This window comes from Homo sapiens, chromosome 3 (assembly GCF_000001405.40).
Source record: "Homo sapiens chromosome 3, GRCh38.p14 Primary Assembly".
Classification (NCBI taxonomy): Eukaryota; Metazoa; Chordata; class Mammalia; order Primates; family Hominidae; genus Homo; species Homo sapiens.
In genome coordinates, this window is record NC_000003.12 from 45,674,333 (window position 1) to 45,700,007 (window position 25,675).

The window sequence follows — 25,675 nt, forward strand, 5'->3', positions numbered from 1 at the left end:
CTGGTCCCAGGGCTCAGATGAGACCATCCGTGTCGTGTCCATGGACAGAGACTACCACGTGGAGTGTTACCACTGCGAGGTAGACCCCTCCCCACCCAGCCCCCAAAGCCCATTGTAGACATCCAAGAGAAAAGCATCCTGCGTTGACTGGGGCAAGAGGCAGTCAACAAGATTCTGGCAAGGGTCAGCCCTCTAGAGCTTCTGTAGGAAATGGAATGAAGGCTGGTTCTTGGGGGAGGTAGGAGAAGATGGAAATGCTCAAGGTATAAAGGTCTTTCTTCTGCATATTCAGAACTATCAAGTCCTGCAACTGTTGGAGCTGCTCTCCCTGAAGCTGCAGAGCTAGGAGGGTCGTGGAGAGCATGGGTTTCAGGTCCTATCTGCGGGCCACATTGTCAGGCAGGTGTGCGATTTGGGGAAGGGACTCCCTCCCCTCCAGCTTGCAGGCTGTTCTATCTGCCTGAAGCTCCTTTCTCAGCTGAGCCCTGGAAATCATGAAGCCCCTCTTGGAAACAGGCATGTCAGCTGGTGGTGTGAAGGCGGGTGGGGTCCGCCTGCCCCTTCCTGCCCTTTGTCCCAACCCAAGATGAAGGAGCACTAGTACCTGATGACTGTCAGGAAAGCTAGAGGTTGCCCCTCACCAACCCTTGTGAAGGGTGACCATGGAATTTCAGCCACAATTAAGTGAATTCACCCATGGAAGGAGATTAGATTCATTTGGTGACCCTGTGGGTAGAGAATGGGGGTGTCCCTCATATAGACTTGTCCCACTGCCAACACTGAAGAAATGGGTGGGAATCATTGCTGCTGGGACCCCAGGTGCCCCAGGTCACTGCAGGAGAAAAAGGTGAGGACATTTGCTCAACAGGCCTCTCCACATTTTCTAGACCAGTGCTATCCAAAAGAAATATAAGGGGCCGGGCGCGATAGCTCACGCCTGTAATCTCAGCACTTTGGGAGGCCAAGGCCGGCAGATTACTTGAGGTCAGGAGTTCGAGACCAGCCTGGCCAACATGGCAAAAACCCATCTCTACTAAAAATACAAAGATTAGTGGGCGTGGTGGCACACGCCTGTAGTCCCAGCTACTCGGGAAGCTGAGACAGGAGAATTGCTTGAACCTGGGAAGTGGAGGTTGCAGTGACCTGAGATCATGCTACTGCACTCCAGCCTGGGCAACAGAGCAAGACTCCGTCTCAAAAAAAGAAAGAACTATGAGAGCCACAAATTAAAGTCATGTATCATTTTAAGTTTTCTGGTAGTCACAATTAAAACGTTAAAGAATTATGAGAGCCACAAATTAAAGTCATGTATCATTTTAAGTTTTCTGGTAGTCACAATTAAAACGTTAAAAGAAACCGGTGAGATTAATTATTTTATTCGGTTCAAAATATCCAGCCAGGCATGGGCCCATGCCTGTAATCTTAGCACTTTGGAAGGCCGAGGCAGGGGGATCACATGAGCCCAGGAGTTTGAGAACAGCATGGACAACACAGTGAGACCCTGTCTCTACTAAAAATACAAAAATTAGCCAGGCATGCTGTGCCTATAGTCTCAGCTACTTAGGAAGCTAGGATCGTGTCACTGCACTCTACTCTGGGTGACACAGCAAGACCCTGTCTTAAAAAAGTAAAAAATCCTGCTGGGCGTGGTGGCTCATGCCTGTAATCCCAGCACTTTGGGAGGGCAGATCACTTGAGGTCAGGAGTTCAAGACCAGCCTGGCCAACATGGTGAAACCCTGTCTCTACTAAAAATACAAAAATTAGCCAGATGTGTTGGCGCGTGCATAATCCCAGCTACTTGGGAGGCTGAGACAGGAGAATTCCTTGAACGGGGGAGGTGGATGTTGCAGTGAGCTGAGATCGCACCACTGCACTCCAGCCTAGAAAACAGAGGGAGACTGTCTCAAAAAAGAAAAAAAAATCCAAATGTTATCTTTTGAACATGTAATCAATATAAAAAAGTTACCCATGAGATTTTTTTTGTAACTCCACAATTTATTTTATTTCTTCTAAAAAAAAAAAAGGGATACGTGTGAAGATTTATTACATAGATATATGTTGTACGTGTGCCAGGGTGGTTTGCTGCACCTATTGTCCCATCCTCTAAGTTCCCTCCCCTCACCCCCACCTCCCAACAGGCCCTGGTGTGTGTTGTTCCCCTCCCTGTGTCCATGTGTTCTCATTGTTCAACTCCCACTTATGAGTGAGAACATGTGGTGTTTAGTTTTCTGTTCCTTTGTTAGTTTGCTGAGAATGATGGCTTCCAGCTTCATCCATGTCCCTGCAAAGGACATGATCTCATTCCTTTTTCCCATGAGATATTTTTACATCCTCTTTTTGTCCTAAGTCTTCGGAATCTGCATTTACACTGACAGCACATTTTAAGTGGTTCACAGCAAGTGCCTTGTGGCAGTGTCTCCTGTGTTGGACAGGCCTCCACGGGGCAGGAGCTGTGTTTCTGCACTGGCATTTCCTGCCTATACAGAAACACACAGCACCCTCTGCTGATTTTGGGGACTGTGGCCTTCAGGTCAGTCTTGCAGTCTGTTTTGTTTTGCTTCCCCTGGACATGTCTGCCTCCCCACAGGACTGTGGTCTGGAGCTCAATGATGAAGATGGCCACCGCTGTTATCCGCTGGAGGACCACCTGTTCTGTCACTCCTGCCACGTGAAGAGGCTGGAGAAGAGACCCTCATCTACAGCCCTTCACCAGCACCACTTCTAGCCAGAGCCACTTGCAGACATCACGGCAGGGGATGAGGAGCCGGGGTTGCTGCTGCTGCTTCCGGTGGCCCCTGGGGTGGAAGTGGGGTAGGGGAAGAGGAGGGGCAGGAGGGAGAGTTCCTGTGAGCATGTGGGGGGTGCCTTTCCTTTAACCAGGGAGGTGAACACTACCTGCCTCCTGCGTGTATTTTCCAAGTGCTTTTCTCTGTTGCCACATTTTCCTCAGGTTACTCAGGAAAATGCTCCAGCATGTGCGAGCACATGACCTGAGGTTGCATCATAGCACCAAAGGAATCCTCCTGTCCCCTCTGGGAACATTTCATGCTTCAGAGGGAGAGGTTTTTATTGAGCTTGTTTCACAATATCCCCTTGAAGGGACAGCTCAGCTGCCAATACATTCAACCCTTTCTCTTCCTTCAGGAAAATACCTATACCCAAATGTTCCCTCCCCCGACATATATCATGGCATGATTTAAGGCTTCTTTTCACCTGAGAGCTTCAGTTCTTCTGCAGAATGGCTGCAAATTTAATTGCATTAAGGCAAGAAGGAAGCTCTAATGTGTGCTTTGTATCCTAAGATAAATTTGCTTAGAAAACCAGAGTCAAGATTTGAAATAGGTGAGGCAGGGTTTCCTCCTTAGACACTGACAGCATTCTCTGTACCCCTTCAAATCCTTACTCTCCTAAAGGCAGCTGAGTCCGCGACAGAAATTTGCCCTATGTGAGTAAAACATACTTTGGGAGAAGAACTTGGTGCAGGCACCAGGATTTTTTTTTTTGCCCACGTGTTTGCGCTGTTTTTCTCTGGAGTTCTCAAGAGTTGGTGACTTGGAAGGCCGCTTCTGCAAGGCAAGTCTCAGGAACCCATGCAGGTACATCGCTTGCACCTGTTTTTAGCTTATTTAATGACGGGCTTTTGGGAAGAGCTGCCCGCATACTGAGAGACAGCTTCTTATAAACAAGGAGAGTTTTTGTGTGTGCGAGATCTCTAAGCCAGCGTGGGAGGGAGCGCCTCAGGATAAGTTATTATATTCATTTCGTTGGTTTCTCTCCTGCCCAATTCTTGGCACAGGCATTATGTTTGAAGAAACCAGGATAAGGTACACTGCTTTTGTCTGTTTAATTTTTTTAGTTGTTTCCCTTCACTTTCAGTCTTCCACACACAAAAAATACCTCACAGAGCTTCACCAAATCACAGATTCAGGAGGAATTTGGCTTTCACACTGGACTCAGATACCTTCTTCAGTGTGTTGGAAATCACTGGCTTCACACAGGCCCAACTCCAGCTGGTCAGGGCAGAGTGATCGTAACTAAAGGTCAGTGGGGAATAGATCCGATTCAGTGCTTTTGCCTTATGCATTTCAGCATCCTGGCTCCCCAGGGTGGCAGGAGCTGAGGGAGGGCCACACACTGGCAAGATTTCAAGACCACTCTCTGCACTGAAGAGGTAAAATTTGCACTGCAAGTCACATCCCTGAGGCCAGAGGTCAGTACCCTTTGGTATTTCGATTAGAAGAAGCTGCAAAAGAAAGGCAGCCCATTTTACCATTGCCAGCCAGGCCGGGGACACAGGAGCCGGTGTGTGCACTCTGCCTCCTCACCTTGCACCCAGAGCAAGAGGACTGGGTGCTGGGCTGCAGAGGCCGGTCAGTGGAGCCCCTAGCACGTGTGAACTCAGGCTTTTCATTGGGCCCGGCTCCACTTCTAGGCCATGTTTTGACTCATTTGGTAACCATTGCCTGTAAGCAGCACAGAATTGGTGCCATGGATTATCTTTTCCATGTTGATGGAATTCATTCTGTTGGAATCCTTTGGCCAGATGTCACTTCAGCCAGGGTGTGCATCATCATTGGTTCTTTTTCACAGGCTGAGCCTCCTGAAAACCCATGAACGCTGGGGCTGGGGAAGTGAACCCTGAGGTGGGGACCCTCTCTTCCCATCAAATCATCCAGCTCAGTGTGGGGCGTGGCAGGGGGGTAAATGAAGCCAGCCAATGTGTTAACCTGTCTCTGTCAACCTAAGAATGTTGGCCTTACTGACACACCTTTGCTCCATGTTCAAGACCAGAAGTAGCTGGGATTTGTTTGCAAATTGGGTAATTAGTTTAAAAATCTGTGATTACATTTTTAAATGAAATTTTCAAAGTGGCCTAGATTGAGGTGATTCAGATAGGTTTGCGAATATACCATTTTATATTGTTGAGAAAGAACAAAAAGGGAATTTCCAGATGTCCTAGAAATCCTAGCAACAGATTTCTCTGGTTGTCAGTTTCCCTGGAGAAGGCGCCAGATAGGAATCTCCAATCAGTTGTTTTTCTCTTCGCTTCAGGCCCTTACACAAAAGCCATGAAGAGATGTTCACCTACCCGGTATTTTAAATGTTCTGTAAATTATTAGCCAAATAGAACTGTAATGGGGTTGTATTTATGGGCGCCTAGAAAGAAAACACAAGGACTTGGTAGGCCAGGAAGAAAAGATTTTAAAATTTAGAATGAATAGCCCTTCTGGGTTTTCTTTTTGACAATTCTTGGACTTGAGGTAAAACAAGGAGGATTGTGGCCGGATTTCAGATCCCAAAGCCAGCCTCCATCTTAGGCCTTTGCCTCATTGTGCCTTTTAGGTTTTCTTACCCACCGTCTCCTGTTTTGTCTTTTTTTTCTTTTCTCCTACCCCTATCTTGGGACATTCAGAAACTGCCTGGGTGGTTTGAGAAGAGACAACCCAGTTTGATCTGCAATACAAGGATCCATTCGTAATCTCTCTCTCACTGATGTTATTCCCCCATCTGCCGTCTTGGTTCATCTCACCACAGAAGGGCATTTAGTCCTACCCAGCCATCGGCTGCGTATGACAGCAGGATGGCACTTCCCATTTCTCTGTGGTTAGTGCTCGAGTGAAAACCTCTTTCAGCTGAGTCCTCTGAGGTTCTGCTGTTGAGTCCTGGGTGGCTGATGGAATGATTGAGGAGGTCTGGTCACCCTCAAGCGCCGTCATCGCCTTGTTTCCATGGGCTTCTGTCACACAAAATGAAGAACAGAAATGTTAGGACTTAAGAGAATGTTTGGAATTCACACCTCTTTGCAGTCCTTTCAAGGCTGCTGCTCTGTGCTGTGTCCCATGCATGTGAAAGTAGAGCTGTGATGGCTGCTGGGACGCTTGCAAAGATCATGTGTGAGAATTGAGCACAAGACCACAAATTATTACTGCTTGATGCGCTTGTTAAAACTCTATCTGCCAGGAAACCAAATTTTCTTTTCTTTTCTTTTTTTTTTTGAGACAGGGCCTCACTCTGTTGCCCAGGCTGGAGTGCAGTGGCGCGATCTCAGCTCACTGCAGCCTCCACCTACTGGGCTCAAGTGATCCTCCCACCTCAGCCTCCCGAGTAGCCGGGACCACAGGCGTGTATGACTGGCTACGCCTGGCTAATTTTTGTATTTTTAATAGAGACGAGTTTCACCATGTTGCCCAGGATGGTCTGGAACTCCTGGGCTCAAGTGATCTGCCCACTTCCGCCTCCCAAAGTGTTGGGATTATGGCCATTAGCCACTGTACCTGGCACAATTTTTTTTTGTACCCTCCTTTATGCCAAGAATCAGTCCTAATTTCTTTACTATGTGAAGTAACTTTTAAAGGTAATAGAAAAGGCCAGGCACAGTGGCTCATGCCTGTAATCCCAGGCGCCGTGGCTCACGCCTGTAATCCCAGCACTTTGAGAGGCTGAGGCGGGTGGATCACTTAAGGTCAGGAGTTAGAGACCAGCCTGACCAACATGGTGAAACACTGTCTCTACTAAAAATACAAAATTAGCTGGGTTTGGTGGCGCACGCCTGTAATCCCAGCTACCTGAGAGGTTGAGGCAGGAGAATCGCTTGAACCTGGGAGGCAGAGGTTGCAGTGAGCCGAGATGGTGCCATTGCACTCCGACCTGGGCAACAGAGCGAAACACTGTCTCAAAAAAAAAAAAAAAAGTAACAGAAAAAAGAGTGAAATATATTAGCTATCTTTTATTCTGAGCCAAAACTTGACAGATGTGGGAAATCTTCATATAGTGTATGAAAATTTCATTGTACAGGGAAATTATTTTCCTCTGTGTCTTTTCTTTTACTATAAAGTGATTCAGAATTTTACTGTTACTATAAAATTATGCAAAGTATTGTGACAAAACTGCATCAATTTGTTGACTATTAAAGTGCTCCTTGAACATTATATTTCCTGGGTCTTTTCTGTGTGTGGAGTCAGCAAACTGTTTTTTGCTACCTGGACTTTGTCTTCTTTTACAGCTCTGGATTCTTAAAAGTACCACATAGGTAGCAAACCTGTGAAGGGTATGAGATTTTACCCTACTTGCAGGCTAATAAAGTGAGCACACCACATGGGTTCATGGATCCTGGCAGAAGTTATGAGACTCATAGGTCAGAGACAAAGGACAGTTTATTATAGCAATAGCAGTGGCCAGATTATCAGCATTTACACTGGTTCCCTGAGCCCCAGGCCCCAAGAAGAGGGCCAGGTGAGACCTGCACACGCAGTGGGCTGCATTACAAGAGGAACCCCCATGCTTAGGGGACCCTGGTATTTGATAATGGGCAGTAAGCCTGCCTGACTTTTGCTCCAGAGACAGACACTATCTCTGTCATCCAAGACTGTTCACTAGATAAACATCCTTGAAAATATAAGTCTGGAACCTGGCAATTGGTGTCTATTCTTACCAGATGTATAAAAATGTGAGAGGCCTTGGAGAATCATATCCCAAGAATCAGCAGTTTCTTTTACTGGACCTTTAAGATTGAGACTTGTAAGGTCCTGATGCAGTGACTTGTAAGGTCACTTTGTCTCTCTTGTGAATGTTACTGTTTTTTCTCTTCTGAGGTTATGACCAAAGAATCCTCAAGGCGAGTGATCCTTCAGGTTTGAGACAGCCACATGCAGGAAGACAGGACTTGTAGAGTGTTGGGGCCAAGTGTGTGGTTAGAATCCTTGGGGTGGGGAAAGAGTTTGTTCTAGACTCCAGTGTAGTCCTTGTGGCTACCAGGTCTGACGTGCCAAGGACACGGGAAAGCTGGGAGTGAGGATACTCATAGTCATAGCACCTTACACCAGAATAAAAGTTTTTTTTTTCTTTTTAAGTGATGAGAGAATGGCTAGTCTGATTTTGCCAACATGGGCTGCTATTTGCTTAAGACCTTGATGGTATAAGGAGTGAAGATGCAATCAGGGTAAAAGGCGGTCTGGAGTTGTGGTGTGCTGGCAAACCAGCCCTCTGGGGCAAAAAATTAAAAAGCCTTGATATGGAGTGTTTGCTGATACCTATGATGTAAATATTCCCGCCATGGCCACTTTCCAGCTACCAGCAAGGCATCCTGGCACCAGGGATTGGGAGGAGATGGCATAGTCCTAAGAGTCAGCCTTGGGCATTGGGCCATGTGGGACTGGGCAGTGGGGTATCTGGTCTGGTTCTAAGTGCTGTGATGAAGCAGTAGCAGCTGTAATAGCTGGCATTTCCCGTGTGCTCATCACATAGCAGATGTTATTCCAAGGACTGTATGTTCTTTATCATCCCTCATTTGATAGACAAGACAACTGAGACACAAAAGGGTGAAATAAACAGTAAGTACTCCATCCCAGGCCATCTCATCCAGAGGGTGCTGTCTTGACCACTCTACTACTCTGGTTGATGGGAGGCAGTAAATTGTCCATCAGTATACTTCTTCATCAAAGCTACATAGTCAAAAAGCCACAGGAGGCTGTGAGGAGAAGCTCACTGCTGCTCTGTTGAAGTCTGTATTGGTTTCCTATGGCCACTCTTAACAAATTACCACAACCTCAGTGGCTTAAAACAACACAAATATATCATTCTGTCATCCTGGACACGAGCCAAAGGTTGTCGGCAGAAGCGAATTGCTTCCAGAGGTGCTATAGGGTGCTGCCCATTCCTTGCCCCTTTTCCGCTTCTAGAGGCTGCCCATTTTCCTTGGCTTGTGGCTGCATCATTCTGGCTGCTTCTATTGTCACACCTCCTCTCTGACCCTCCCTGCCTCCTTGTAAGGACACTTGGGATTACGCCCATCCAGATAATCTAGAATAATCTCCCATTTTGTGATTCTTAATAACATCTGCAAAGCCTCTTTTACCTTGCAGAATAAGATATTCACAGGTTCTGGTGAGGAGGACAGGGACATCTCTGAAGGGGAGGGAAGCAGGAGATAGGGTCTGGAGGCATGGAATTGGCTTCCTAAGGCCAATTCAGGCTGACTTCCTAGAACTAAGTCAAAAGGAAAACCCCAACTTTCCACGCTCAAGTAACAAAAGGACCAGAGGCTACTCCCTTTGCAACCTCCCCACCCCCAGCCCCTTTTCTGCATGGCAGGTGAAAAATTGAAAGTATCGCTAATTGATCCCCTCCCACAACCAATCAGACTGGTCTTAGGCCAAGTCTTCATTTGCCTAGGAGTATAACTTTGTAACTTCAGCCTCTGATTGGGCGTTTTACACAACCAGTCAGATGTTTGTATAGGGTGGTGTAACTTTGTAACTTTGCTTCAGCCTCTGATTGGTCCCCTCCCACAACCAATCAAACTGATCATGGACCTCTGCTTCATTTACATAGGGTGTACACCAAGTAACCAATGGGAAACCTCTAGAGGGTATTTAAATCCCAGAAAATTCTGTAACCGGGTTCTTGAGCTGCTTGGGCTGCTCCCACCCTGTGGAGCGTACTTTCGTTTTTCAATAAATCTCTTTTGTTGCTTCATTCTTTACTTGCTTTGTGCGTTTTGTCCATTTCTTTATCAAGACGCCAAGAACCTGGACACCCTCCACCGGTAACAGGAGGAGCATTAGTCAGCCTACCACAGACTCCAACGAACGTTTTTTGAGAGGAAATGAAAGAATATTCCTAAGTTATTGGGTGCCTTTTCTTCAGGAATCCCTGAAAGTGGGGGTTTGCAATTTTCCCTGGATTGAAAACAGAAATGCTTCCTACACAAACATGATTGAGACCTTGTACTCTAGGTGTAAAAAAACAGAGTAGGTCATACTCTGTGGGTTATGGTCAGAGAGATCTGGTTAGAAGTTCCCAGGTAGGCGACAGCCCTAGATGTGTGACACTTCTAGGAGAATCTCTGGCTATGTGGATACGTCCAGGTGTGTAAGGCAGCCTCAGGGACTGCCACCACTTGGTCACATACATGTCCCTCCAACTAATCCTAGCTCTCAAGGACAGGTGGTTCTGGGCCCTGTGTTGCCCATGAGACTTGGTCCACGGCAAGCCTGTGACGGAGTGAAAGTGAGGGGACACCCAATTTGAAAACTCGGCAGGAAGCCAGACTCCATGACATACAAATAGATCAAAGTGAATCGGCTCCGTTGTTTGGGGAAATACCTGAGGTTTGTTGTTTCGTGCCAAGAAGATTAACAACACGGACACACGTGGGTGGGTTAAGGAGCAGAAAGTTTAACAGGCAGAAAAAAGAGAACAGCTCCCCCATGCAGAGGGAGGAGGACTCCGAATGGATCTCCCCATTCCTGGCGGGAAGCAGACTGATATATAGAGGAGGGGGTTTGAAGAGGTGGTATTTGATTTACATAGAGCCCAAGGGATTGGTTTGACCAGGTGTGCCATTTACATAGCCCTCGAAGAAACTGGCCATTCCACCTTGATCTTTTATTATGCAGATAGGGTTTTTTACTTGGCCAGAGCCTTGACACCTGCACACATGGCAACAAACAGAAGGGAGGCGAAATCTTCCATATTGGATGCACCTGTCTTCCAGGTGCAGCTGCCGGCATTTATCTGTGCAAGCTTCTAGCTTGCTTATTTATGCTTGCAGCTTGACTTTTCAGGCTGCTTTCTGTTGGAAAAGAAATGGTTTTGGGGGCTGCTTTTTATTAAAAGAAAAGCCTTACCAAGGACTCCTGTACCCTATCTGCCTAAATTTTTTTTAACTACTATATTAAAAGGTCTGTAAGTGGGAGCTGGCCCTAAAAGTAGGTTGTAGAGATTATTTGGATGTGCCAACAAGCTTCATCTGCAGCTTGGACTGTCTCCATTGGAAGGCCTCTGGCAGATTTTGTAAAAAGTTATATAACAATTTTACTATAGGAAAAACTTGGCTACAGATATGAATTTATATTACCCATCATTGGCTGGTTCCTTATCCTGAACATTGGTTTCCTTGGAATCTGATTTTGGCTTGTTTGGCCTTTAAAAACCCCAGAAGAATGGGGTTTCTGCCAGATTATTTTCTGGTTTTCAGTCTCACTGAATGTCACAAAGGCCTTGGTTTATGGTTCCCAACTGGTAAAGAAACGTCAAACTTTGCCTCTCTTAGTTCCTTCTACATGACAATGGGTGGCAGTTGCTCATATGGAAGCATTTCTTTTCCCCCTAAAGCCTATGAGACAGGCTGCAACTTAAACCCCTATTTTATTAAAGGAGAGGAAATGTCCAAGAGCCCAGAGATAGTGGGTAAAAGCATCATAAGGACTAGAAATGGGGTCTTCTTGTTGCTAATTAGTAGGGGTGAGGGGTAAGTGGCAGATGTGACTGCCGTCCATGCCCAGACAGGGAATTGTCCTTGAACCTACTCATGCGGTGTCTTCTGGGGTACAGTGAGTCCACAGGGCAGGACGGCCTTGGAGTCAAGAGCCCAGACTCACATTCTATCTCAGGCTTCATAACTCAATTGCTCCATGACCTTAAGCCAATTTAGTTCCCTCATCTGTAAAAATGGGGATAACAACTGAATTTACCTCATGGGATTGTGTAATGCCCAACCTTGTTTTTACTAACCCTGTTTTTAGACTCTCCCTCTTCCTTTAATCACCTAGCCTTGTTTCCACCTGAATTGACTCTCCCTTAGCTAAGACAGCCAGACAGACTCCATCTTGGCTCTTTCACTGGCACCCCTTCCTCAAGGACTTAACTTGTGCAAGCTGACTCCCAGCACATCCAAGAATGCAATTAACTGATAAGATACTGTGGCAAGCTATATCCGCAATTCCCAGGAATTCGTCTGATTGATAACGCCCAAAGCCCCGGGTCTATCACCTTGTAATAGTCTTAAAGCCCCTGCACCTGGAACTGTTTACTTTCCTGTAACCATTTATCCTTTTAACTTTTTGCCTACTTTATTTCTGTAAAATTGTTTTAACTAGACCCCCCCCTCCCCTTTCTAAACCAAAGTATAAAAGAAAATCTAGCCCTTTCCTCAGGGCTGAGAAAATTTTGAGTGTTAGCCGTCTCTCGGTCGCTGGCTAATAAAGGACTCTTAATTCGTCTTAAAGTGTGGCGTTTTTCTAACTCGCTCAGGTACAACAATTGTTGTAAGGAATGATTGAATTCATCCAAGTAAGGGAATTAGAGCAGTTTCTGGCATGAAGTAATTGCTCAATAAAGTGTGTCAGGTTTTAAGATTAATTGATCTTTACATCATGATAAATGGCAACAAAATAAATGACAAATGGATTAAAGTAAATGGTAAAAACAACATAAGAACAAAACATTAAAAAATCATATAATAGAAGAAACCAAATATTAGTAAGTGTGAATATATAAAGTGAAAATTACTACAAGTTCAAATATATATATATATATATATATATATATTTTTTTTTTTTTTTTTTTTTTGAGACAGAGTTTCACTGTGTCACCCAGGCTGGAGTGCAGTGACGTGATCTCAGCCAACTGCAGCCTCCACCTCCCAGGTTCAAGCAATTCTCCTGCCTCAGCCTCCTGAGTGGCTGGGACTACAGGCACACACCACCATGCCTTGCTAATTTTTGTATTTTTAAATAGAGAGAGGGTTTCACCATGTTGGCCAGGCGGGTCTCGAACTCCTGACCTCAAGAGATCCACCTGCCTTGGCCTCCCAAAGCACTGGGATTACAGGCATGAGCCACCGTGCCCAGCCGTTAAAAAAATTTTGAAAAGGTAAATCATAAGCTGGAAAAAAGATTGCAACGTATTTAAGAGTTAATACCCTTAATATATTAAAAAATCAAATTTGTAAGAAAAAATTCAATACATCAAGAGAAAATATATAAAGTACATGTAAAAGGAAGTTCCATATTCCAATTATGAAAATTGCAAATCACGGTTAAATTTATAATAGCCAGTGTTGGTTAGCATGCACGAAAACAGAGAAACAGGTGCTGTTGATGGAAGTGTGTTTTGGTTTAATTTTTTGGAGGGCAGTCAGAAAGTAACAAAAGTCTTAAAAATGTCCATAAAATGGACCTTACAGATGTCCACCTGGTCGTTCCACCTCTAGAAATTTGTAAGACAAATAATTCGGCCGGGCACAGTGGCTCACATCTAACCCCAGCACTTTGGGAGGCTGAGGTGGGCGGATCACGAGATCAGTAGATCAAGACCATCCTTGCTAACACGGTGAAACCCCGTCTCTACTAAAAAATACAAAAAATTAGTCGGGCGTGGTGGCACACACCTGTAGTCCCAGTTACTTGGGAGGCTGAAGCAGGAGAATTGCTTGAACCCGGGAGGCAGAGACTGCAGTAAGCCGAGATCACGCCACTGCACTCCAGCCTGGGTGACAGAGCGAGACTCCGTCTCAAAATAATAATAATTCAACACAGGGTCTCATTCTGTTGCTCAGGCTGGAGTGCAGTGGCATGGTAACAGCTCACTGCAGCCTCAACCTCCTGGGCTGAGGTGATCCTCCCACCTCAGCCTCCTGAGTAGCTAGGACTATAGGTGCACACCACCACACCTGGCTAATTAAAATTTATTTATTTATTTAGTAAATAGAGATGAGGTCTTGCTATGTTGCCCAGGCTGGTCTCGAACTCCTAAGCAGCATCATTTTTTCTAGGTGTTAAACTGACAACCACCCAAATTCCCAGCATAAGGATTCTGCTTAAAATATCTAGCTCTCTGATGAAATATCTTCAAAGAATATTTAATGACCTTAAATCTCAGACAAAAAGGTAAGGAGACAAAATGAGGAACCCATTTCCGTACAACCCCAATTTGGAAAAACACATGTGCAAGTATGCCCATGTTAAAAAATATAGAAGAAAAAAAGGCTTTAAGGAAAAAAAAAATAATAGTAATGATTTAGGGTGGGAATCGCGTTAATATTCCCAATAATTTTATATATTTTAAAAATCTATAATTTTATCAGGGGAAAACGTTATGTTGCGGAAATTAATTGATCGATTGAGTGATTGGTTAACGGACAGTGTCCGATGACTCATATAATCCCCCGGTTCGAGTCCCTTTAGGCCGCAGACGTTTCGCGCCTTCTCGGGTGTCCAAGTCGCGCATCCATACAATGAGGGGTAATATACTAGATTACCTGAGGTCTTCTTACGGTAAAAACACCGGTGTCTTAAGGTTTCCCAGTGGAATTTGGGGGCCGGGTTGACTTCGGAGCTGGAGCTCGCAAAGGCCGGGGCTGCTGCAGATTCTGACGCTTTGTGGACCCCTACTACCGAGCGCAGCCGCACCGCAGGTTTTCTTCGCTGCTGGTTAGATCCAAAGCCCATCCCATCCTAGTAAACTGGGACAGCGCCGCTTCTCACATCACTATGGGGGCTTCTGCTCCGTGGCGGGGAAAGGCCAGAACTGCTGCCTTAAATACGCTTTTGCATCATCCGGTTGCTAACCTCCGGCCACAGCATTCCCCACTCCAAAATGCCACTTTTCCAGGTGTGTTTGCCTAAATTTACCCCATTTACAGACTTCTCAGGTGCATCATTGGGAACAGGGCGCTTTGCAGTTTGCAAACCACCTCAGACAACTCCAGGTTTAAAGGATAAAGGATGACATTGTGAGCAAAGCGGCATCAAAATTTCAGATATTTAACTTTCACATTCTAACCATACACCTTTCCAAGGTCTTGTAATACTTTCACATTGTGAATATACATCTTTACAAGACCCAGTAGTACATGGGTCAAGTGTGGCAAAACAGACATCGCGAGCCAGCCAGGAGTCGAACCTAGAATCTTCTGATCCGTAGTCAGACGCGTTATCCATTGCGCCACTGGCCCCGACTTGCTAAAGCCTTCTCCGTGATAGCTGATCACCCTTATACAGTTTGAACGGGCTTCCGGGTACCAACGATCCATTTTGCCCTTGCGCCGCGCTCCCGCTGCTCTGCCTTTCCCCAAAACGCGCCCCACCAATCCGCAGCGGCTTCGTCACGGCGCTCTTCGTCGCACTCCAACCCGCCGCGTCGGCGGCATCTCTCGCGTGCTCTTGCTTGCGCACTAATTTGTCCTCCACCGCCTCCCGTTCAGGCCGGCTCTCCTGCGGGGCGGGGAAAGGGGTGGGAAGAGGCTGGGAGCTGCGGCCGCTGTGCCAGGGTGACCGGTAGAGTTGTAGCCGAGGTGGCGGCGCGGGGCGGGGCGGGCGGAGAGAGAAGGAAGGAGGTGGTTGTGCAGGATGGCGACGGCGGCCTACGAGCAGCTGAAGCTGTGAGTCCCACGGGCCAGAGGCCTGAGGCGCGGCGGGCGGGGCGGCAGGTGCGGGCCCTGGCCTCGGGGAGGGCTTCTGAGTCCCGGATTGCAGATAGGGTGTGGGAGCTCCTCGCATTTACCGGTTTTCCTCAGCCGGCGCGGCCTCTCCTAGGCCTCGCCCGAGTAGCCATAGGCCGGGAACCAGCGGCTCGCCGGCCTTTCTCCACCGTGCTCGGCCCCAGCGCCCACGGCTGAAGAGAGAAGCTGCCGACTGGCCCCCACCGAGCCGGGGTCGGCGTTATGATGCGGCCCTTCAGGGCACGCTTGTCCCCACTTTCTATGCAGAGCTACCGACTAAATTTATCTGTATGACTTAACAGAGAAAAAGAGTTTTCTCTTACTTAACGGACCTACAGCAGCAATTTAGAGTCTACGCACAAATCAACAAATCTTTGTTTTGCTTACAGCCTATCTGGGTACCGAAGCCTGCCTGCCCCCTCTTCAGTGTGCAGAAAAAATTTAAAGTACAGTCAGTAGTCTTAAGGTCCTGAAGGAGTTTACTTTGGTTTAAATTTTAAACAGCTCCAGCCTAAAGCAGGTTCTTAAGTCAGTGTCGACAGCCAGAGGCTAATCTCGGTAATTTTGGTACTGCAAATTGACTTTTCGGTAAATCCAAGTTCTTGAGTCTTTGATACAGAGGCTGTGGTTGTTAAGAGTTATAAAATAGGTGTTTTTAAGGGTTTTGGTTTGTCTTGGATTAAAAACAACATGTGTTTATTTCCCTTAGTGTTACCCATTAGCATCCACACTTTTCTTGTCTGTGAATAATTTTGTTGTACTCACTTCGTGTTTAATGCTTTACCCCTAGGCTGTTTGAAAATCTGGTGGCCACAGCCTGGGAATATCTGGTAGGAGAAACAAATGTAATTTTTTAGAAGCTTATCTATCCCTGTATATGAGCTAAAATACCTTGGCAGTTAGGCATAGATACCGCATTTCTTTTGCAGGGAAATGACACCAAAATGTGGTTTGGGCACTTAAGCTCCTCAGACCTCAACCTCACTAGTAACTTTCTGAAAGGTTCAGTGGAAAGTTAGAGGTGCAAAATTCAGAGAGGTCATCTATTCCACATTGTATGTGTTGCAAAAAAGATGATTGCTTTTTCTACAGTGCACCCCCTGTGGGTGCCATTTCTGTTTACTGTAATGTTCTTTGAAAACCCTAGCTGCACACTTCCCTCCACATTTTCCTCTCCACCTTTCCCTATTTTCTCCCAGTTCCCCTTTGCAAAGTGCTCACCTCGTCTTTGGTGAAAGAGTTGAAGGAAGTGTCTTCCACTGCGTTTCTGGCCAGGCCACTGTCACATGTGCTCTGCTAGCTAATTAGGTTATTGTGTATCTGATAGGCACTGAAGGGTTTAATGTGATCCTACACCAGGTCTCAAATGTGTTTAAGCCATATGGAGCCATGGCTTCATGCAGCTTAGCGTGGCAAAGATTGAATAGGATGGAGAACTTGAGAATTATGATGATTGTTTTTCAGCTGCCAGAACACTAAATTTAACCAGTTCAGACCTTAAAACAAACCCAAATCCTCGCATACATAAAAGAGAAAGGAAATTTGTCCCTGAAGTAGTAAGAATGATGTTTTTGTATTGATTTTTGTGAGAAGTGGAAACTCTTAAATTATTTGGGTGATAAAGTCAAACTGGGGTTATGTGAAAGTCATTCTCTCATTTGTCAGTCCTAGCTTTTTTTCCCCCTGAAAAAAAAGTTTAGAGTGTTTCTGTAAATGTGAAGGTACAACTTTTTTGCACCTTTTTCTTTACCAAGGGGTTTATGAGTTAGAGTTTCCATTTTTATTCCTTCCTTTTGGCCCTTCCTGCTCTGAGGCTGCTGTTGAAGGTTTTCAAATGTGGCTCCTGCCCTAAGGAGTATTCTTTTTTGGATGCATTTAGAAGTGAAATTGGTTTCTGTGTAAGAATTGGTAGGAGATAGTAGCCATTTTTTAAAATGTGTCTGGAGATGTGTTTTAAGAAATATCCATGCAAAAGAGATAGTTCGATTATTTTATTACAAAAGGATTGCTAAAAGGATTTATTTAAATGTTGAAATGCTTGTTTTTTTTTTCTTTTGTTTCGTTTTGTCTTTAAAGAGATGGGGTCTCATTCTGTTGCCCAGGCTGGAGTACAGTGGTTTGATCATAGCTCACTGCAGCCTCTAACTCCTAGTCTCAAGCGAGCCTCCCACCTCAGCCTCTCGAGGAGCTAGGACTACAGATGCACACCACCACACCTGTCCTACTTCGGATTTTAAATAATAATTCTGTCTGCATTATGCCATGCTTTTTCTCCAGCCCATCTCTGCCTTGTTGAATTTCACCTTTCTAATGCTCTGGTTTTATCCTCTACTTTCCTGCTTACAATTTCCAGTTCCATCTTACTGACCTATAGGATCAAACTTGCATTTCTTAGCCATCTGTATATTCTAGCCTTTTTATAATCTGTCGCCTAATTTATTTCCCGTAACTGCCCAGAGCCTTTTCCCCACTTCTGCAAAACTTGGCTCATCCCCTTCTAGCTTCAAACTTGGGTGTTATTTTGATCCTTCTACCCAGAATGCCTTCTTCCTCTCTGTTCTCTTTACATACTGGTCACATCCATGGTAGAGCCAAGAGATCTCAGGTTTTGTTAGTCAGAATGGATATGGATTCATATCTTAACTTGACTACTTGTTTTGTGTCCTGGGCATAGTACTTAATCCTTCTGAATTGGTGTTTCAGTCTGTAAAATGGGAATGTTGATACTTCACAGGATTATTGTAAGGTTTGAAAGAGAGTTTTTTTTTTTTTTTATTATTTTTGTGAGACAGGGTCTCACTTGTCACCCAGGCTGGAGTGCAGTGGTGTGAGCTCAGCTCACTGCAGCCTCAGCCTCCCAGGCTCAAGTGATCCTCTCACCTCAGCCCCCAAAGCATCTGGGACTACAGGTGCACATCACCATGTCTGGCTGATTTTTTCTGTTTTTCAGTTTCGCCATGTTGCTGAAACTTGAACTCCTCGTCTTAAGTGATCCATGCACCCTGGCCTCCCAAAGTGCTGGAATTACTGGCATGAGCCACCATGCCTGGCCCAAAGAGAGTTTAGATGAAGTACTTAGTGTACCTCATAGGTACCTTCTTTGAGAAATGTTTTCTTTCCATGTCTTTTCCTTCACTGAGTTCTGGTAACAGTTTTTAAAGCCAAAAATGAAAAATTATTGTAACAGGGTTAGACACCAAATGTTTACATGATTTATGTATTCTGTCTCTTAGGATCAGTTTACAGTGCATTTACTTTCTCATGGACAAGAGGATGGAAAGCTAGAATGGTCAATCCATAGTACTGTTTGAACCACTCATTTTGTCACTTAGAAATGAAATCATTATGTACACCGTTATGTGACTCTTACTGACAGAGATACATTCTGAGAAATATGTTAGAAATATGTTAGGCAACTTCTTTGTACAAACATCAGAGTATAATTACACAAACCTAGATGGTACAGCCTACTACACACCTAGGCTATATGGAATAGCCAGTTGTTCCTAGGCTACAAACCTGTACAGCAGGTTACTGTACTGAATACTGTAGGCAGTTGCAACACAATGGTAAAGATTTGTGTATGTATACATACATAAACAAGAAAAGGTACAGTAAATATACGGTATTATAAGCTTATAGGACCACCATCATATGTGTAGTCTGTCGTTGACCAAAGCATTGTTACATGGCACATGGCTGTACTTTGTTTCTCCAACCAGTTTACACCTTAACATTTTCTTCTCTAGTCCTCCTCAGTACCTAACATAGAGCCTTGTGCAGAGCAGCTCCTCAGTGAATCAACTGAGTAAATGAAAGGAACTTTCCAGTATAGACCACGTACTAGCACTGCAAAAAGAACACAGTCTAGGGTAATTTGGAATGTATCGTTTTGAAGAAACACAGCTTAAAAGTCATTTCATGTATATTGTCTTCCCAGTGTCTCTGTGAGGTCATAGGTTGATAGGTATCCTGTCATTGTTGAAAACAGTCTCATAATTGCCCTTGGCCACAAAGTCAGATCATACAGCCAAGCCATGGTAGAGCTAGCCTTGGAATACGGCTGGTCCAGAGTCCAGTGATCTTTCCATTTCATTGCATTATCCATATGACCTTTTTTTCTCTTACCAGATTGCTCTCGCATTAGTCCTCAGACATGCCAGGTATTGAAATGAGTCACTTACAACCAAATATAGTTGACATGTCCATATTAATTTCCATATGTTTAATGTGGAAAACAGAATATTGATTTGCTCAGAATTTAAAATTCATACTTTTTAAACTTCCAGGCAGTTCTAAATATCCTGTTAGGCTCCATTTTTCTTTTTAAGCCATTTGTATAGGCATGGATAATGTCAGACAGTGATAAATTTGAAATTGCAAAATAATTAGACTGGAAATGTAATTTTTAAGAAGCTTATCTATCCCTGTATATAAGCTAAAATACCTTGGCAGTTCGGCGTAGGTGTCACATTTCCTTTGCAGGGAAATGACATCAAATGTGGTTTGGGCACTTCTTAGGCCCCTCAGACCTCAAGCTCATAATAACTTTCTAAAAGGTTCAGTGGAAAGTTAGAGGTGCAAAATTATTGGATACATTTAAAGCATTTTTTCTTCTTTTTTTTTCTTTTTCTTTTAAAAGGTCAGTTGAAACTAGGTGTAAGGCAGGGAATCCTTTAGTTACTGCATCAGGCTGCAGCATGCCTCTGAAGAGTACTGTTTCCTCAGGAAATTGCCATTTTTAAAAGAGTCTCATAACTGTGAGGTCATCAGTCAGGGCAGATATGATCCAACCTTGAAAACAGATGTAACCTAAGCTACCTTGTGATACAGACACATATAATCTGTTCAATATAATGAACATTCATATTATTCACAGAAGTCTCCCGGTGGAGGGAAGGGTGTAGGGCAGCTCAGATTATTCTCATGAGTTTTAGCACAGACAATATGGGGTTTGTATCCAAAGCATTAGTTGGCTGGGAGTTCAGGCTAGTTCAGGCTTACCTAGGCTCACGTGGCTAGCCTAGGTTAGTGCTAGGCTACATCAAATGACTTGGTATGCTTGTTTTAAGTGCGTATTCCAGGGCCCCACATTAGGCCTACTGAGTGAAAATCTCTGGGGATGAGCGGTGGAAATCTGCAAGTTTAACTAGCTATCCTGGTAGTTTTTATGCACTCTGAAATATTTTAGGGCTGGGCATACATAGCTGAGTTAGGACCAGAACATGCTGGTAGAAGAGAATTCTTTGGAAGATATGGGGCTCTGGTAGATTGTGCTGTGGATTAGAGCTTCAGATTAGGTGGAATTTGGACCTAGTCCTGTGAAGAAGTCTGGTTGAGAGAATGGGTTTTAGGGCATTCAGGGAATAGGATATAGGTGGGAACACAGAGTTTTGAGAAAGAGGATAGCATTAGAATGAGTCTTTCTAGAAACACCAACTGGTTTGGAATTGGGTTGTGCCCCTGGGGAGTCTGTGATGAACTTGAGCTATAGGAGAGGCAACCAGGGAGGGCTCAGTGAGGAGATACCCAAAGGGAGGATGAATGGGGGAGGTAGGAGCACCTTCTGCCTATGAGTGTAGTATGTGCAGGGGATCCTTCTTTACTAAGTTGTTTTCTTTTTGCTCACCAAACCTAGTAAAGTGTTGTGCCTCTGTCTTTTCAACCAGAGATGTATTAAATTTGATCATTAAGACCTTGATTTAATTCTTTTTTTTTTTTGAGATGGGGTCTCACTCTGTTGCCCAGGCTGGAGTGCAGTGGCGCAGTCTCGGCTCACCACAACCACCACCTCCCAGGTTCAAGTGATTCTTGTGCCTCAGCCTCCCTTGTAGCTGGGACTACAGGCATGCACCACCAGGCCCGGCTAATTTTTGTATTGTTAGTAGAGACAGAGTTTCACCATGTTGGCCAGGCTGGTCTTGATCTCCTGACCTCAAGTGATCCACCTGCCTCGGCCTCCCAAAGTGTTGGGATTACAGGCATGAGCCACTGCACCCAGCCAAATTCTTTACGTAAGATTTTTGAGGGAATATGTTCTTGCTACAGTTTTATGACATATCACTGTGGCTCCTATGCAAAATAGTGGTTTCATTATTTTTAAAAATTGTGGTAAAATAAAACATTAAATTTACCATCTCAACCATTTTTAAGTATACAGTTCAGGGGCAATAAGCACATTCATGTTGTACAACCGTTATCACCATCCATCACCAGAACCGTTTTCATCTTGCAAAAATAAACTCTGTACCCATTAAACAACTCCCCATTTCTGTATCCTCCCAGCCCCTGGCAACCACCGTTCTACTTTCTGTCTCTATAAATTTGACTTCTCTAGATGCCTCATGAAGTGGCAGTATTTGTCCTTTTATGACTGGTTTATTTCACTTAGCATAATGTCCTTAAGGTTCATCCATTGTGTAGCATGTGTCAGAATTTCCTTTTTTTTTTTTTTTTTTGAGATGGAGTCTCGCTCTGTTGCCTATGCTGGAGTACAGTGGTGCGATCTCGGCCCACTGCAACCTCTGCCTCCTGGGTTCAAGCAATTCTCCTGCCTTAGCCTCCTAAGTAGCTGGGATTTCAGGTGCCTGCCACCACGCCCAGCTACTGTTTTGTATTTTTAGTAGAGACAAGGTTTCACTGCATTTGCCAGGATGGTCTCCATCTCCTGACCTCGTGATCCGCCTGCCTCGTCCTCCCTGAGTGTTGGGATTCCAGGCCTGAGCCACTGTGCCTGGCCCAGAATTTCCTTTCTAAGGCTGAATAATATTCCATTATATGTATGTACCACATTTCGTTTGTTCATTTGTTAATAGACACATAGGTGGCTTCCACCTTTTTGGCTATTGTGAGTAATGCCAGTATGAATGTGAGTATACAAATACCTTTTTGAAACCCTACTTTCAGTTATTTTGAGTATATACCCGGAAGTGGAATTGTTGGGTCATATGGGAATTCTATTTTTAATTTTTAATGGGCCACCATACTGTTTTCCCATAGTGGCTGCACCGTTTTACATTCCCACCCACAAAGCACCAGGATTCCAGTGTCTCCGCATCCTAGCCAACACTCGTTATTTTCTATCCTGGGTTTGTTTTTTTTTTCCTTCTAGATAATAGCCATTTTAATGGGTATGAGGTTGGTAAGTAGTAATGTTTTTGTAGTGGGCCAGTTTTACTCATTGATTTGACAGGATTTTAAAGAGATCAGTTGTCTGAAATAAGACGTGAATGTTACATGAGAGATAAATGTTTTCAGACACTAGAAAATCGCAATGCCAACACTGAAAGAAAATAAAAATATTTGATGTTAATATTATAATTAAAGATATTGCTTTTCTTAAAATTTAACAAGACTAATTTTTTAAAAAACACTCTTAAGAGCTGTTGAATCCCAGGTGACTATAAGATTAAATGCATTTGTATTAAGTGTAATACCAGAACTGCCTTTGTTGCATTTAGCTTTTAGTCCCAGTTCCACTTCTGGGATACTCAAAATAATTAAAAGTAAGGTCTCAAAGAGGGATTTGTATACCCCTGTTCATAGCAGCATTATTCACAACAGTCAAAAAGGAGGAAGCAACCTAAGTGTTGATTCTTTCTTTTTTTTTTATTTCAACATTTTTTGTAGAGATGAGATCTCGCTGTGTTGACCAGGCTGGTCTCAAACTCCTGGCCTCAAGATCCTCCTGCTTTGTTTTTCTTTTCTTTTCCTTTTTTTTTTTTTTTTTTTTTTTTTAAGACAGGCTCTTGCTCTGTTGCCCAGGCTGGAGTGTAGTGGTGCGATCTTGGCTCAGAGCAGCCTCTGCCTCCCAGGTTGAAGTGATCCTCCGACCTCAGCCTCCTGAATAGCTGAGGCCACAGGTGCATACCACCACACCTGGCTAATTTTTGCATTTTTTGTAGAAACGGGGTTTTGCCATGTTGCCCAGGCTGGTCTCAAACTCCTGGGCTCAAGCAGTCCTCCTGCCTCAGCCTCCCAAAGTGCTAGGATTACAGGCATGAGCACTGTATCCAACCACTTTTTCTTTTTTATGCCATGCTTGGACAGTAATCCTTAAAAGCAAAATGACGAACTGAATGAAGGTAGTCAAAATAGGAGCAATTATTATACAAGTATTATGCTATTTTGATATATCTTCCATAGTATGTGTCTTATTAATGGGAACCAGAACTCTGGGTAGGTATGGGATCCCCTTGTCTTGACAGATATTTGGTAGGATTCTTGTTCAGTTAGAGTTAATAGTGAATTGGAGGCTAATCACCTCACCAGATAGTTTATATAGGACCAGAACCCTTTTTAGTATACAGTATTACTTTGAACCTTAGAGATCTGTTATCAACAGTATAGATAATGACCAAATAATCTTCTTGGATCGAATCTTGTCTTCCGAAATCCATTTCATAAAATAAGTAATATGATAGCTTGTTTGGTAAAGATTTAAACACAAAAATAGCAATAAAACAATACACACCAGGAAAAATTATACCACTGAATGTTTACTTAATTGTTTTTGACGGTTTAAATGCTAGAGAGTTAAAGTTAATTTCACTGGCTTTTGAAATGAAGCCCAGGAAGCATAAAACATAGAATAAAATTTATTACATAAAACAATTATGCTTCAGATCAGTATTAAGACCAATACAAAAGTGGTGGGAAATGAGAGGAAGAGAACAGTAAGGGCATATATGTAGGTGCCGTGAGTTAGGATGATACCTGCTGTTATGGTTAACAGAATTGTGAGTCATTACTTCTAATGAGCATCCCTAGAAATGTTGATTCCCTGGCAGTCACTGTTCACATTTTCATTGCTCCAATTCTTAAGCCTAGAGATACCACTTTCAGTGACATTATCAGAATAGCCTGATGGCAGCATCAGCAATTTAGATTCCAACAGCATCTCTCAGAGAGAGAAGATCAAGCAAAGGCCTCAGGACTTTTGAGCGAGACATCTCTACCTTGATCCATAATTACTCTTATTTGTATACTTTGTTATAATACTTTTTTTTTTGAGACAAAGTCTCGCTCTTGTGCCCCAGGCTGGAGTGCGATGGCGCAATCTCTGCTCACTGCAACCTCCGCCTCCCAGGTTCAAGCGATTCTCCTGCCTCAGCCTCCTGAGTAGCTGGGATTACAGGCGCCTGCCACCATGCCTGGCTAATTTTTGTATTTTTAGTAGAGATAGGGTTTCACCATGTTGGCCAGGCTGGTCTTGACTGAACTCCTAACTTCACGGAGTCTTGCTCTGTCACCAGCCTAGAGTGCAGTGGCGTGATCTCAGCTCACTGCAACCTCCACCTCCTGGGTTCAAGCAAGCGATTCCCCTGTCTCAGCCTCCCGAGTAGCTGGGACTACAGGCACGTGCCACCGCACCCAGCTAATTTTTTTGTTTGTATTTTAGTAGAGACGGGTTTCACCATGTTGGCCAGGATGGTCTCGATCTCCTGACCTTGTGATCCACCCGCCTCGGCCTCCCAAAGTGCTGGGATTTTGCATGAGCCTCTGCGCCTGGCCTGTAATACAGTTTTTAAATCTTATTTTTATTTCAATCTTATGTATACGGTTTAAAAGTAAGTAGTATACAAAGCTTATAATAACAGAGGCATCTACTTTTTTAAGCAACTTCTGGTATTTTACTCCATATCTAGCGCACCAGCATGGCACATGTATACATATGTAACTAACCTGCACAATGTGCACATGTACCCTAAAACTTAAAGTATAATTAAAATAAATAAATAAATAAAAAAATAATAGTAGCAGTAATGGTAAAAATAAAAAAATAAAAAAATGCTCATATTAGGCTGGGCTCTGGTTTATGTAGCTGTGGTTCAAATGAAGCCTCATGGTGTATCATAATTACATTTCTTTATAAAAATGTTTTGTTTTTATAAATTTATATAAATTTTATAAAATTATAAATTAAATGTTTTTAATTTCCTAGAATTAAAAAGTGCCTTGGTTCTTGTTATTTGCTTGACGTTTTTTTGAGACTGAGTCTCACTCTGTCGCCCAGGCTGGAATGCAATGGCATGATCTTGGCTCACTGCCACCTCCATCTCCTGGGTTCAGGCAATTCTCCTGCCTTAGCCTTAGCGGGGATTACAGGCATGCGCCACCACACCTGGCTAATTTTTGTATTTTTAGTAGAGACAGGGTTTCACTGTGTCGGCCAGGCTGGACTCAAACTTCTCACCTCAAACGATCTGCCCGCTTCCACCTCCTAAAGTGCTGGGATTACAGGTGTGAGCCACCGCGCCCAGCCGAGAAAAACTTTTAATTGCTTATAATGGAGATAGTTTTTTTTCTGTGTGTGCGTTTGACTTTTGTGCTCTTATAAACAGCTGATTTTATAATAAATACTTTATTGCTGACTGAAATGTACCTATTAAGTTGTACCTCCAAAGTTGTATGTGGAAACAAGTGTGACTTTTCAGTTCATTGATTTTTG

General features: G+C 44.1%; 2 protein-coding genes, 1 long non-coding RNA gene and 1 other non-coding gene across 9 annotated transcripts in view, besides 5 other annotated features; 2 read left to right on the forward strand and 2 right to left on the reverse strand.

Moving 5' to 3' along the window:
• The window catches only part of LIMD1 (LIM domain containing 1), a 91,591-nt gene extending 79,582 nt beyond the window's left edge, over nt 1-12,009 (forward strand). The window contains exons 7-8 of the mRNA NM_014240.3: nt 11-79; nt 2,590-12,009. Of these exons, the coding sequence (NP_055055.1) occupies nt 11-79; nt 2,590-2,727 (207 nt within the window). The 3' untranslated portion in view covers nt 2,728-12,009. The remainder of the gene's footprint in view (nt 1-10; nt 80-2,589) is intronic.
• Nucleotides 3,833-14,550, reverse strand: LIMD1-AS1 (LIMD1 antisense RNA 1). The gene is made up of 3 exons (NR_033947.1): nt 14,044-14,550; nt 4,714-5,739; nt 3,833-4,599 (listed from the first exon to the last, which is right to left on the reverse strand). It is a non-coding gene; the product is annotated as an LIMD1 antisense RNA 1 (long non-coding RNA).
• Nucleotides 13,866-13,935: an enhancer, noted in NCBI's record as "active region_19782". NCBI's record gives its function as "activates an Ori minimal core promoter by ATAC-STARR-seq in GM12878 lymphoblastoid cells {active_cell/tissue: GM12878}" and the evidence as "EXISTENCE:reporter gene assay evidence [ECO:0000049][PMID:35858748]".
• Nucleotides 14,446-14,495: an enhancer, noted in NCBI's record as "active region_19783". NCBI's record gives its function as "activates an Ori minimal core promoter by ATAC-STARR-seq in GM12878 lymphoblastoid cells {active_cell/tissue: GM12878}" and the evidence as "EXISTENCE:reporter gene assay evidence [ECO:0000049][PMID:35858748]".
• Nucleotides 14,667-14,739, reverse strand: TRR-ACG2-1 (tRNA-Arg (anticodon ACG) 2-1). Its single transcript has one exon. It is a non-coding gene; the product is annotated as a tRNA-Arg (tRNA).
• Nucleotides 14,756-15,045: an enhancer, noted in NCBI's record as "active region_19784". NCBI's record gives its function as "activates an Ori minimal core promoter by ATAC-STARR-seq in GM12878 lymphoblastoid cells {active_cell/tissue: GM12878}" and the evidence as "EXISTENCE:reporter gene assay evidence [ECO:0000049][PMID:35858748]".
• Nucleotides 15,064-25,675, forward strand: part of SACM1L (SAC1 like phosphatidylinositide phosphatase) — a 56,014-nt gene continuing 45,402 nt past the window's right edge. For 4 of the 6 annotated variants that reach the window (XR_007095650.1, NM_014016.5, NM_001319071.2 and 1 more), the window contains exon 1: nt 15,064-15,165. Coding sequence is in view for 2 of the 6 variants with exons in the window: in NM_014016.5 (NP_054735.3) it covers nt 15,134-15,165 (32 nt within the window). In the remaining 4 variants the exon portion in view is untranslated. Of the gene's footprint in view, nt 15,166-16,015; nt 16,056-25,675 lie in introns of all 6 variants that reach the window. The other 2 variants (NM_001319073.2, NM_001437893.1) reach the window with 1 other exon arrangement.
• Nucleotides 15,076-15,255: a silencer, noted in NCBI's record as "silent region_14286". NCBI's record gives its function as "represses an Ori minimal core promoter by ATAC-STARR-seq in GM12878 lymphoblastoid cells {active_cell/tissue: GM12878}" and the evidence as "EXISTENCE:reporter gene assay evidence [ECO:0000049][PMID:35858748]".
• Nucleotides 19,813-19,952: an enhancer, noted in NCBI's record as "active region_19785". NCBI's record gives its function as "activates an Ori minimal core promoter by ATAC-STARR-seq in GM12878 lymphoblastoid cells {active_cell/tissue: GM12878}" and the evidence as "EXISTENCE:reporter gene assay evidence [ECO:0000049][PMID:35858748]".